General features: G+C 35.0%; 1 protein-coding gene across 5 annotated transcripts in view, besides 1 other annotated feature; it reads right to left on the bottom strand.

The window, feature by feature from the left end:
- The window catches only part of RNGTT (RNA guanylyltransferase and 5'-phosphatase), a 353,722-nt gene that overhangs the window by 13,321 nt on the left and 326,635 nt on the right, over positions 1–13,766 (bottom strand). The window contains exons 15-16 of one of the 5 annotated variants that reach the window (XM_047419442.1): positions 12,489–12,562; positions 546–10,342 (exon numbers count right to left, since the gene is read on the bottom strand). The exons of 3 other annotated variants lie outside the window; for them this stretch is intronic. In XM_047419442.1, the coding sequence (XP_047275398.1) occupies positions 10,150–10,342; positions 12,489–12,562 (267 nt within the window). In that variant the 3' untranslated portion in view covers positions 546–10,149. Of the gene's footprint in view, positions 1–545; positions 10,343–12,488; positions 12,563–13,766 lie in introns of those variants that run through there. One more of the 5 variants, XM_047419443.1, reaches the window with a different exon arrangement.
- Positions 6,758–6,847: a silencer, noted in NCBI's record as "silent region_17381". NCBI's record gives its function as "represses an Ori minimal core promoter by ATAC-STARR-seq in GM12878 lymphoblastoid cells {active_cell/tissue: GM12878}" and the evidence as "EXISTENCE:reporter gene assay evidence [ECO:0000049][PMID:35858748]".

Here is a 13,766-nt window from a genome sequence, read left to right on the forward strand (position 1 = left end):
GATCTTGGATGCTGAAGCTACAAAGGCAATGCAATGGAAATAATGTCTCTACAAGCCTTTGAATGGGGTCCCACATAGATCTAACTCATTTCCAAGCTCTTCTTCTTATATCCTATAATTAACTATATCGGTAAATATATGTTTTTTCAAAACTCAACTTTTCACCTGCTTCCAAATCTGTTTCTTCTCTTGTCTTCTCCAATGCAGTAAATGGCAACTCCATCCACCCAATTCCTTGTGACAGAGATCTTGGTGTCCTCCTGATCCCTTCCTCTTCTTTCCCCTAATATTCAATCCATTACTCAGGCCTATTAATTCTACAACCAAAATATAATCTTAGTATATGTGTTTCTTCTCTTACTGTCATCATCATAGTCCAACCTATCACAGTGTCTCAGATTCTTGTGACAGCTTCCAAACTGGTCTCTTTTGTATTTTTCCATCCCATAAATTCCTTATACTGAAGCCACAATTACTTTTGAAAAATGTTAATCCAATCAAGTCATTCTCTTGCTTAAAAGAAAAACAAATAAAAGACCTACCGGTTGAAAAGGAAGAAATAGGACTGTCTTTATTCACAGACAACATGATTACTTACATAGAAGGATATACAAAGAGGCTCCTAGAACCAATAAGTTTAACAAGGCTGCAGAATCCAAAGATGTTAAATACATACATAAACGGATGCAGACTATAAGAATACTAAAACCAATTGAATTTCTATATACCAACAATGAACAGTTGGAAATTTAAAATTTTAAAGTATAATTTATAGTAACACAACTAAAAAACATGAAATAGGTATAAATCTAAAAATAATCTGTGCAGGATCTGCATGTTGACAACTACAAAATACTGATGAAAGAAAGAAATCAAGGAGAACCTAAATAAAAAGAGATATACACCATGTTCATGGATTGAAAGATTCAATATTGTAAAGATGTCAATTCTTCCCAAAGTGATCTATAGATTTAACATAATCACAAGCAAAATCCCCAAAGGATTTTTTAATGGATATCAACAACCTGATTTATGTGGAAAGCCAAAGAAACTAGAACAATTTTGAAAAAGAACAAATTTGAAGAAGTGATACTAACTGATCTCAAAACTTAGTATAAAGCTATAGTTATCAAGACAGTGTGGTATTATTGGTAAGCAGAGAGACACATGGATCAGTGAAACAGAATAGAGAGCTCACAAATAAATCCACAAATATAAGGTCAATTGATATTTGACCAAGGCACAAAGGCAATGCAATGAAGAAATGATAGTCTTTTCAATAAATGGTACTGGAAAAATTGGATATTCATACATAAAATACGCATCTCAATCTACATCATTCACATTACACAAAAATCAAAGTGTAAAGTACACCTAAATAAATATAGAACTGAAAATTATAAAACTTCTAAAAGAAAACATAAAAGAAAATCTTTGTGACCTAGGGTTAGGCAAAATTTCTTAGAAATGACACCAAAAACATGATTCATAAAATAAAAAACTGATAAACTGCATCAAAATTTAAAACTTATGCTCTCTAAATATATTGTTAAGAGAATGAAAAGACAAAGCATAGATTATAATAAAATATTTGCAAATCACATATCTGACAGAGAATTTGTACCAGAACACATGAAAAAAATCTTAAAACTCAGTAAGAAACAAACAACTAAATTTAAAAAATGGGCAAAAGATTTGAACAGACACTTTACCAAAGAAGCTATATAGATGACAAATAAGCAAATAAAAATACTGTATGTTCAAAATCATTTTAGTCATTAGGAAAATGCAAATTAAAATCACACTGAGATACTATATATACCTATTAGAATGTCTAAAATAAAATATATTGACAATATCAAAGTGTTGACAACAATGCAAGGCAACTGAACTCTCATATATTGCTAGTGGAAATGTAAAATTGTATAACCATGTTGGAAAACAGTTTGGCAGTTTCTTTATAAAGTCAAACATACATTTACCATAAGAGCCGGCAATTTTACTCCTAGATATTTTACCCAAGATAAATGAAAACATTTGTTCACACAGAAACTTGAATAAAAATGTTTACAGTATATTTATTTGTGACCATCCAAAACTGGGAATAACTTAAATGCCCTTCAAATGGTGAATAAACACATTGCAGTATAGCCATAAAATGAAATACTACTCAGGAATAAGAACTATTAGTAAACTATTGATAAATACAACAATATGGTTGAATTCCAAATGCTTTGAGCTGAACTGAAGAAGCTTGACTTTAAAAGCTATAGAGTATGTGATTCCATTTACATGACATACTGGAAAACGCAAAACTATATCAACAGAAAGCAGACTAAGATTTAGGAGTGGGGAAAGCAATTTATTACAAAGGGGTTGTCATGTGGGGCTCTTTTTTAATGGCGGTGGTGGGGGCTGGTGATGGAACTATTTTGTCTTGATTCTAGTAGTGGCTCTATGCCTATATGCACTTGTCTAAGCTCAAACACCAAAAGGAGTGAATTACTGTATGTAGAAGGTGAATAAAAACAAAAATAATACAAAAAAAACAAGAAACAGGTCAGTTAAAAAAAAAGTAATTTCAATCACGTCATCCTTGTCAGTGGCTTCCCATTACAAAGCACTAAATGACATAGCCCTGCTTATTTTTCTAGCTCTAATAAATTGTCTTAGTGTACCCTACATGTTTCATTTACATTATCTATCATTGTAAGTTATTTGTTGATTATTGATTTGTCAATCCACTGGTTAATAATTATGGAATACTAACTAGATGTAGAGTACTGTTCTAAGGGTTCTGCATTATTTATTTAATGCTCACAACAACCCTATGAAGTAGGTATTAATATCCCCATTTCACAGAGGGAAACAGAGGCATAGAGGAGTTATATAATTTGATCAGGGGTTAATAGACAGTAAATGGTGAAGAAGCATATTGTATCCCTACTAAGTAAAACAGTATCTAATTTAATCTGTACAAGAGTCCAGTGAGATACGCAGATGTAGAAGCTGAAGCCAGAGAGTTTAAGTAATTTGCATGAGGATACAGAGCTGATTTGTTTTATTAACAAAATTTGAATTCTAGGTCTTCATGAATCAAAAATCTATGTCCTTCTTTCCGCTAAGAATCTAGGCTCTAGGGTGAGAAAATATTAAAGGAGGAAAAGGTAGACTACACTTATGGACAATTTTACCTCTTGAGTATTTAAGTATTTAAAACAGTAATTTATGTAATTATTTCCAAGGATTACATTTCACTTGGAAGAGTCTAAAGGTGGGAGACAAAGTGATATATGACTGATGAGGGCAGAAGGGCATAATACATTGGCTTGAACCCAGCACAGTATCTGCTAAAGTTTCTTTCTCTTCACTTCCCAAATGCACGTCATTCTGACTGCATCATCTCTGCTGTTTGCTATTCTAATTGCAGCACAAACCACAAATCACAGCAAATTGCAGAATTTCTCAATCATTAAGAATTTACAATAGGTTAATTTTTAAATGGGCTGCATTTCACAGCTGCAAAGCTTTTGTCTGATTTCTAGACTAAATGAGAAGCCATTATTGGGTTGAATGACCTTTCTATAGGCATAACTAGCAAAAATAAGAAGTCACATGGACAAAACAAGCAGCTCTGCCAGGTAAGGTGAGGTAGTGGTAATGACTTACTAAACAGAGTGCCAAACTCTACGGCATAATATATTGGTTCTCTGTTTAGTACTAATACCAAGCATGATGAGAATTATAAGCAGATCATGGATTCAATACATGCTTGGGATAATAAAATCGATATACAACCAAGGAAAGCTTTAACATCCACCATTAACATGAGGAGGAGGCTAAAAAATGCAATATGCATGTCTAACACTTTTTTCTTTATAGTTATACATACAATGACTGGCTTATTTGATGTTGCCCATTTTTTAAGATGTCTGTTACACAACTAATGCAAATATTTCATAAAGTATATTTTTCACATTGAATTTAATAAATGGTCTACCTACTTCTGGCAGTAACAAATAACTAAGTTTATTTTAATGATTATTAAATATCCATGTTTAACAAAGTTCACAATGTATTAGACCTAATAATATTTGAACTAGGCAATTCATTAAGATGTCAATGTATAGTTCAGATTACTTCAAGGAGTCCTTACATTTACTTTCAAGGACATGCTAACAATTTGGATCCAATAGTGTTCTCTTTTTTTATCATTCTTTTAGAAATGTGTGCTGGTTACATATAACTATCTCCTTTCTCACCCATTTTAAACTCAACTATTCACCTCTGCCTTTCTTACAGGACAGAGAGACCTCAAGAGAACTGTCCTCTGGATAGATCTAATGTGGTTATGTGGGAGTAAACCAAAATGCTGAAAAAATAAATAAAGATTCCCTTCTTATTCAGCCTGTCACTTAGAACACCAACAATAATGTTGAGGTTTTCTCCTTTTAATCTTCTAAACTCTTTCTCCTTTAAAATCACTCAATTTGCCTTAGTGGCACTTACAGGCACCGAAGACCACAGACTCACACAGCCTTGAACCATTAGACTAAAAACACAGAACTCTTTAGTTTAGCAAAAAATGTTCTCGTGGTGATCTGGACTCACCTGAGCAAACAAACTTCTAGGATTCCTTTCTTACAAGTCTGTACCTCAAGTCAATGCAAAGTCTCACTGAGACCTTCTGACCAACTGTAACTTGCAGCTATAACCTGCCTTTGATATGTCCAATTGGGTATTTTACTGTTTGCCATGCATAGATCATTGCAATTTTATATATGCTTTCTCAACAACTATATTTCTTCTACTTTGAGAAAGAAATCTTGAAGTTATTGACAAAGGCATTACGTAAGTACAGAGTGATAATCACATTGCTCAGAGCCCTAGAGTTTCATTTTGTGTCTCTATGCACTCCTTGAAAAACATTCATGATGGATTTATTTAAATTTTCCTCATCAGCTCCAGGTATAGCGGCTATTTAAAAAGCCACTCAGAAAATGTTGAAAATCTGAAAATGATTACAATAAATTATCTGCATCAAGTATCACATTCCCTAAATATCTTCTCCCCTAAAACCCAAAAACACCACAATAACTTCTCTCTGATAAACATTTTAGAGCTGAAACTCCAAGCAGGAAACTTTAAAATCATCAAATAAAACCCTTTTATTCTGAAATATTCAAGTACTAAAGTGCCCTCCCCAATTATCTGTATTAATTGGTGTGTATGTGTGAACATTCACATATTGGGGTGTTATAAAACCAGAGGAAATAGCAAATTCATTACTTTGGTAACTTGTACTCAAAATTAATTTAAGGTTTATAGCCAATATATTTATATTCATCATAGATATTTACTTTTTAAATTATTGACTAAGATTTTTTCCTTCATAGGGAAAGGAAGGGGAGAGACTAACATTTATTAACTACCTGTGATGTAGCTGAGCACTTTACATACACTGTTATCCTTTTTATAATAATGAGGAAATTAAGAATGAGAATATTTAAATAGTTTCTTCAAGACAGCATTTGGATCTAGAGCTCTACATCGCACTACCTCTTGGTACTAACTGGGAAATTCAACACACTAGAGGAAAAGGAAAATTTTATTATTGTTTACTCCAAATCAAGAAATGACTAACAGTTAAAGAGCTAAGGGAGTTCAGCTAATGGAGCATCCTTTGCAGTCACCATAAACTAAAGGAGAGACATGTGAACTCTCATAGGTCATGCTGAGTTTAATGTAATATAATCTTCTAGAATAGAAATAAGAAACATAGGCTGCATGTGAAGAAAAAAAATCCCAAAACCATGAGCCTCAAGTGCCATGTGTTGGTCAATACTAGTTTGGAGAAAAGGGGTCTGGAAAGAAGATAGGACAAACAAAGTAGGAGAAATCTCAAAAGTGGGTAGGGAAAAGGTGTGGACAAGAAGACGAAGAAAGTTCTAAGTGTCCTAAACTGGGTCTGTGAAATGGGGATTAAGTGCAATTCGGTTGAGTAATATACAAAAATTTTACTGATTTATCAGCATTATTTACATTTTTAGCAGGCTCCAGTGATTAAAACAGTCTTTTCCGTTCTGGCAACTGGTTTACCGGCTTTCACTTTCAAAGATGCAGGGGGAAAAAAGATGCAAACATAAAATTCAGCCTGCAGGTAAAATACGTGCTATTATCTAAAGATTTCTACATTTAGAAGTATCTGATTGCCTGATCTTTGGGAGATCAGAATTTTCACAATTCACGTTCTTAAAGATTACATTTGGAATCACATTAAATTTCTCATTTTGTTCCCTCCTTCCCCACTTCCTATATTTCCTTAGGTTTCTGTTCTACAGTTGTTCCAGTGAGGGTAAGGAGAATGTGTTCTAGTGGGAATAAAGAAAAAAAACAAAATTACGCAGGCAAAGAAAAAAGTTGTACATTTTTGGACGTTCACCACTCAACTGCTCTTAGCAAGTTTTCAGAGGATCTATTCTAAATTAGGTAGCTGTGGTTACCACTATTTTCTGGAAAGTTGTTTTCTGGGTATATGAAATTAAGTCTGAGGATAATTAAGGTAGGTAGCTTTTCATCTTTTCTCTAGAAAGTAACCAGCACAATCTTGGTGCTTAATGAAATTATATATCAGGTAAATGATATGCTTGCCAGGAATGCTTTCAAGTGGTGAGTATTTTACAGGATATTCTCACACTAGCATGCCTCCTTCTAATCTTGATTAAGTCAGCTCAACTCCCTGACTATAAGAAATCACCATGTGAGTCTTTGAAGAATGCGCCCCCTACCAATGCCATGCTGTGCCTACGCTAACCTTTAAGCAAGTACACCGGCAACCCTGAGTTCCTGTGGTTTCCACTGTGGTAGACTGTTGGGCCAGTAGCACACTTGCTATATGAGGGTCTGCTACAGTAAAACGACAATGCAGGAAGGATGTTTGTTTTGGGGGTTTATTCAAAATTGGAGAAAACTATGGAATGGTGAAAAGTAACAAGCCAAAGACTCATTATTTGCTTTGTCTGCCAGCTGCCAGCTGCCAAAGAAGACACAGTGGATCGCCTCCTGGTACTGTTCTGTGCCCAGAGGCTCCAAATTAGCACTGTTTTAACTGTCTTGCCACCACACTTCAGATGTTATCACTATCATTTCCATTTTTGCTTTTGGAATATTCCAGGGACCACAGTCCTTCAAATCCTACCATCTAATTGGTGCTAAATTTGCATATAGTCATGCTTCCTCCACTCTGGTGTAAAATGGATATTCTAGTCCTCTTCTGTAAGCTCCGTGTTTTAACTATCACACAGCCTGGAGTTTCACTAGTAGATAAATGTTGAGTAGGCCCACTGCAAAGCTTACTGATGGCAGAGCAAATAGCTGAATTTAACCTTAAATTAATCCTGATATATGAGCTCTGAGTTAAACAGCTCTGAGTTAAACAGGCCAAGCAATAGTTCAGCAAGTCGGTGGGGAGGGGGTGACAGAATGAACATCTGAGACTTTTTTTTTTTTTAACTTTAATCCGACATGATAAAGGCAAAGTAACTCATTCTTAGTTACATTTCCTTCTGTGAATTTTGTTTTTTAGTAACTTGTTTTTTTGCTTAAATATTTTTTTAGAAATCAAAACCCAACAATGAGAACAATTATGTTAATAATGCCAGGAAATTTGTTTGCTTTGTTAAATTGAGCTTCAAAAGCACTTCAATTGAACATACATTTGTGATTGCAAGTAATGTCTATTCTTATATCCATTTAAAATGTTTACTTTATTACAGCTTATTATAAATGTGAAGTCTAAAATGCAGCACCATGGCTGCTCAATTTCCAGGCCACAATTTTATGATAATCATATGAAATGTATTCATGTGTCAACAGAACTGCCTAACAATGCCCCAAATGGAGTTGTTAGCAGCTCTGTCTTTCTGATGGCCACACAGTTCTGTGCCTCATAACATTAAGAAACTGCTACAAACGAAAAGTTCTTTGACAATTTTAACTTAGTTTGTAGCATGTACTATGTTGCTACATACAGCTCAGTTTAATTGCTACTGTCTCAGAGATCTCCTACAGGAAAACTGACCTTAAACATATGAATGAGATAAATGGGCTGTTACTTTTTATATGGCTGGATTGTCTTTTTAGGTAGTCTTTACACCAAAGGGGTTGAGACTGCAGAATCCCTCTGGTATTTGATGTTCCCTACTGCATGCAGTGGTGAAAAGGTACCTGGAAGATGCCTTCTATCACCTTGACATCTCACAAAGGAGTAAGGGAGCACTTATATGCAGATCCGATAAATGGAAATGAATAAAGGCTCTAGAGGTGTCCCTCCCTCCCTCTCATGACTTCCTCGCTTTTGTGACAAGTAGCCCATATGATGGTGGCCAGTGCAGGAGCTGAGATCTTGAGCAACATTTTCTCAACTCTACATTTTTTTTTTAAGGCCCTATGATGCAGGTACCATCCCATGTGTTTTTATGCCCCTTATTTCATTCAGAAGATCTGTTTGCCTGCAGTGGACCATATACTTTTGGATGGAGGTTGGGAGAAAAGCATCCGTCAGGAACCAGAATCATGTGATAGTAGGCTATATATATTTTTTGTTTCAAGTTTTTTTTTAACCTCCTAGAAACACTTCTCTGAGTTAGTAACAGAGAACTGTGAAAATGTCCAATCAACTTTAAGACAACTGATTTTTTATAGCCAACTGCTTCTGAAAGAGTACCAAGTCCACCTAGGCCAACTCTTTATTTATTATTTTGAGACAAGGTCTTGCTCTGTCGCCCAAGCTAGAGTGGTGTGGGACGCTCACAGCTCACTGCAGCCTCAACCTCCCAGGCTCAAGTGATACTCCCACCTCAGCTTTGCTAGCAGCTGGAACTACAGGCGTGTGCCACCACACTTGGCTAATTTTTGTATTTTTTGTAGAGATGGGAGTTTCACCATGTTGCCCAGGCTGGTCTCAAACACCCGGGCTGAAGCAACCCATCTGCCTTAGCCTCCCAAAGTGCTGTGATTACAGACATAAGCCACCATGCTCAGCCCCAACTCTCTTTTTAGATGGAAAACACTAAGGTTCACAGAAAGCCTATAACTTATCCAAAGCATATGCCTCTTTGGGTGCAGAACTAGCACCAGGGTCCAGACTTGCAGCATCCCAGTCCAGCACACTGACTATGGAGTCATCTATAAGACAATCCTTCATAAACAAAAGGTATAACTTTGCAGGGCAAATGTTTACTTACAGTCATTTAAGTTTGATCCAGTTTATCTAATGCAAGAAAAACAGTTTATATAGCAACCAACTACAGACACACAGACACACAGACACACACACACACACACACACACACACACACACACGTACATTTCATAAAGCAATTTATTTCCTTTCTTTGTGCTATTTTCTCTTCTACTTTATTTCATTAAAACAAAAACAAACAAACAAACCTGATTGAGATCCACTTAATGGATTTCGAAACCAACCATCAAAGTCAGGGGGGAAAAAAATCTCACAGAATATCAAACAGAATAATGGATTGATTTCAAGCAACTAGCATGGAAGTTAATTCTAGTCTAGTATAATTCTAATCTTGAATTTTATAAACAATAAAGGTAGACAACTCTCAGGACAGGAGTCTTGGTACTCAGAATGCTAAATCAGACCCCGTCTCATGGCTTCTGCCACCTTCCTTTCCCACATATTGTCTCTTTTCGAACAATGACTACACTGTAAAGAGGCTGTCCTGGCTGGGCAAATGCTCTCACCCATTTCTTCTGTAGTCCTTCTGGTATAACATTGCTACCAAAGCATAGTTGATGCTTGGCTTTAATTTAAATTTCAGATAGCATTTTTCTCTACAGAACTGAGTCTGTTTTGTCAAATCCTGAAATATCATGACATATTATTGCAGGGTATAATCCCTTCCTTTCATTTACATGCACCCCCATTAGATGGTAAGCTCCTTGAGTGAACAAAACAAGTCATTTTGTTCATTGCCAGATCCCCCCACTGAATACATAAAAGGTGCTCAATAAGTATGTGTAGAAAAAAAAAAGCTTGATGAACATTATACAAAGGAATTATAGAAATGACATCAGATTTTAAAACATTACATGGCTTTCATCCTTGGACCAGGGTCTCTTGCTCTAGGACTCTGTTCTTACTCTTCCCCCTGAATGGCATTGCATCCTCCCCTCTGGATAGCCAGTTCTTCCACCAGGATCACTTTCTCTGGAAAGCCCTTTCTGATTCCACAGGTTCTTGTGCTTCATTGATAAGAATATCTTATTCTTCCCACATCTTGGAAAGATGGTATGTTGAATGCGCTTTATCTCCAACCTGACAATAAGCTCAATCGGGATGGAACTTTAATAAATGGCCTGGCACAGTAAGTGCTCAACTAAAATGTTTTTTTTTAACATTTAAAAAATACAGTCTCTTTCCAATTCTGCATATATATATTAATAAAAAGTTACACACTTAGGACTGAAAACCAAATCAAAACAGAATCAGCCCAACCTAATGGCCAAATCATAAGGGTAATTAGTAGTTGGATCAACTGCACGTTTTTGTTTTTGTTTTTAAGAAGTCCCTTAAAACCATGCTGCCACATAAAATTAGGACATACAATATCATCTACTGGGGAGAGGGGAGCGGAGGAACAGAGAGAAGAAAGTAAGCAAGCAAACCATCTCACACGTGTTTTTATGTCAGATGGGAAACAAACAACCAAAATAGCTAAGGCATCCTATTGCATCATATTCATCACATACCAATAATTTTCTGCTTCCTAAAATATGAAAGATAATGACTCATCCATCCAGCACTTATCAATATTGTTTATGATAGAAAAAAGATAAATGCATCATTCCCTTTTGTATCCAGTGCACTGGATAATATATACTTTAAACATGCAAATTTTAAATAAGAAATGCATTTATACAACACAACTAATAGGAACTCAAAGGTTTTATAAATATTAACTCTTCACATTTTTATAAGCTAGTTTTACAAGATTCTTATTTTAAACAGTGGACCTAGGATACATGTAAATAAGGATGGATTTAAAGTAAGTTTCTGCCTCCCTGTCTGCCAGTCTAAAATGAGCCTAAATTTCCTTCTTAAAATAATTTTCCATGTATTTCCCACAATAAAAATCTTAAGAAATATCTCCATAATAATTTTCCACCAAATCTACAAAGAGAAGGATCAGCAAATTGTCTCATGAAATATGACTTGCCAAATTAGTTCAAATTGGCCTCAGTAATAATATTCACTAAGAATGCATAGGGCTAAAAGGCTACAGACAGAGAAAAGACATATGACAAACCTCTGTGAGTCTGCCCTGAGTGTATAAAGGGTTGGCTTCGAGTCCCTTAAAATTCATCATTTTATTAATCATCCAATAGATGACTTAACGAATAGCCTACTGATAAGACCAAAATTCAAATTCGGAGGTTCTTTTGAATCTTCATTAGAATAAGTACTACAACGAAAGAATCTTAGAGGAGATATTTTTGCAAAAAATAACTGCAGAAAATAAAATATAACTTAAAAAATATAAAAGATGAAGTACTAGTAAATATTTAATATGTGAGTGAAAATGGAAATGTTGTAATCAATGTGGAGAGAAAAATGATAGAAAATCCAAACAAGGTTAAAATGAAGTATTATACATTATTGTTATTATTAATAGTTCTTTCTTTTTTAACAGAGAGAGTTATGTTACTCTAATGGGATACCGAATTTTGGAGGAAAGACTCTTAAGGGATGAAAAAACATTCCTGAATGAGCTAATAATTGTGGATGGAGAATTGAGGTTACATTTGAGTAGTGGTTTGCTAGGCTCACTCCTTTTTCCATTCTTTTTATTCACTCAGAAAACTATAAAATGCCTAGATAAAATAACAGGGCAAAAATAAACACAGAAGCAATCATTCCTTTGTATTGTTTTCTGTGTTTGGGCTGTGTGTGTGCTTATGTATGTATGCTTACAAGTATATGTATTATGTATATGATAAACATGTATATGCGATGTTTATGTGTGTTCACACATATTTGAAAATACAAAATCCAGAGATTTTAGAAAACATGTAGCTGTTATTTGGTTACACGAACATTCTAAAATTTACACAGAGGAATAAATCAGGCCTTCCAACTGAGGAGTGGACAGGAACAGAAAACTCATCTTTCATCTTTTAACCTTCCAAGTCCTAGAAAGATGAACAACTCCCAGTCCCTCAATGCACATATATACAATTGCCCTTACAGTCAAAATATGACAGATTCAGGAACAGAATCTGGCATTCTTGATTATTGTCCTGCAGTCTCTCCTCTATATCACACTGCCCAACACATACTTAATTTCATCATTTGTATGTATGTGATTATTCTTAATTTCCAGATATGTAGATTTATAATCGTGGTTTCTAATATTTACTCTGGCATCTGAAAATGCTCATAGATTCATACATTTGTTGAGTACCTTGGAGTTGATGCAGTTCTTTTAGGGAAGCCAGTTTGGTTGTAGTCTCCTGTGGATTTAACTTGTTCTGAATTCTGTGGTATAAGGAAGGCTGTTTTAGAGTAATTCCAATTTATTTTTGCTACTTAATATATCACTCCTATGATAAACTAGATCAAACTTGTAAAAATGAGCAGATATATGCTACCATGAGATCACAGATAGTGTTTGCTAGTCATGGAGGGTTCTCAGCCTTCTCTTCTTTGGTACAGAAATGGGAGCATATCCTCCTTTTTAAGAGATATAGGTCATTTATACAACAAGTATTTCTTCAGCTCCTGCTACTGTGCAGTCATATTCTGATGAATCAACAGAACCTCCCTTACCACCACCTGGGAGTGCATTTATATCAGAAAGAAACCAACTACAATTCTTCTACCATTAAGAATATCTCCAGCACCTCCCTGTTGAATGAGCAGGAAGGCCCACCCCTGGAACTTCATTGGAAAGCTCTCTCTGATACATACATTTGTTGAGTACCTTGGATTTGATGCAGTTCCTTTAGGAAAACCAGTTTGGTTATAGCCTCCTGCAGATTTAACTTATTCTGAATTCTGTGGTATAAGGAAGGCTGTTTTAGAGTAATTCCAATTTATTTTTGCTAATATATCACCCTTGTAGTAAACTAGATCAAACCTATAAAAATGAGCAGATATATATTACCAGGAGGTCACAGATAGTGTTTGTATAACTCAGGCAGCTAGTCATGGAAGGTTTCAAACTTACTTCCTCTTACTCCAAAGCTTACTCCAAAGCTCTTATCCATATAATCTGAATAGTATTCTCAAAGCAATAATTTAATTTGGCTTTAAATATTTTCACCTTTCTTTTATAGATCTTTAAGGTCAAATAATTATTAATGATGGTATTATGGTTTTGGTTTAAGGGGAAAAAAAAAAACTAGAAAGGATCCTGGACATGATTTAATGAAAAAACACATTATTAATTATAAAAAACAAAAACACAACTTTTTTTTTTTAAGACAAAGACAAGAACCCCAAATCTCACCTCCAATCCTGAGTTCCTTTCAACATACCACACTGCTTCCCTTTTGCTTCTTCACAGATAACTATATAGCAGGCAGTTTAAGGACAATTCTATCTAGTATCTTCCTCATCTTGCTACATTACTGAGAAAATTTAGGAAAGAATACTACAAGAGAATATAAAGAACTTTGAAAAAGGTGGAACTAGATTAAAATCTTGAATCAGATGCTTTTGATAAATGTGCACTGGGCTC

This window comes from Homo sapiens, chromosome 6 (genome assembly GCF_000001405.40).
Source record: "Homo sapiens chromosome 6, GRCh38.p14 Primary Assembly".
Lineage (NCBI taxonomy): Eukaryota > Metazoa > Chordata > Mammalia > Primates > Hominidae > Homo > Homo sapiens.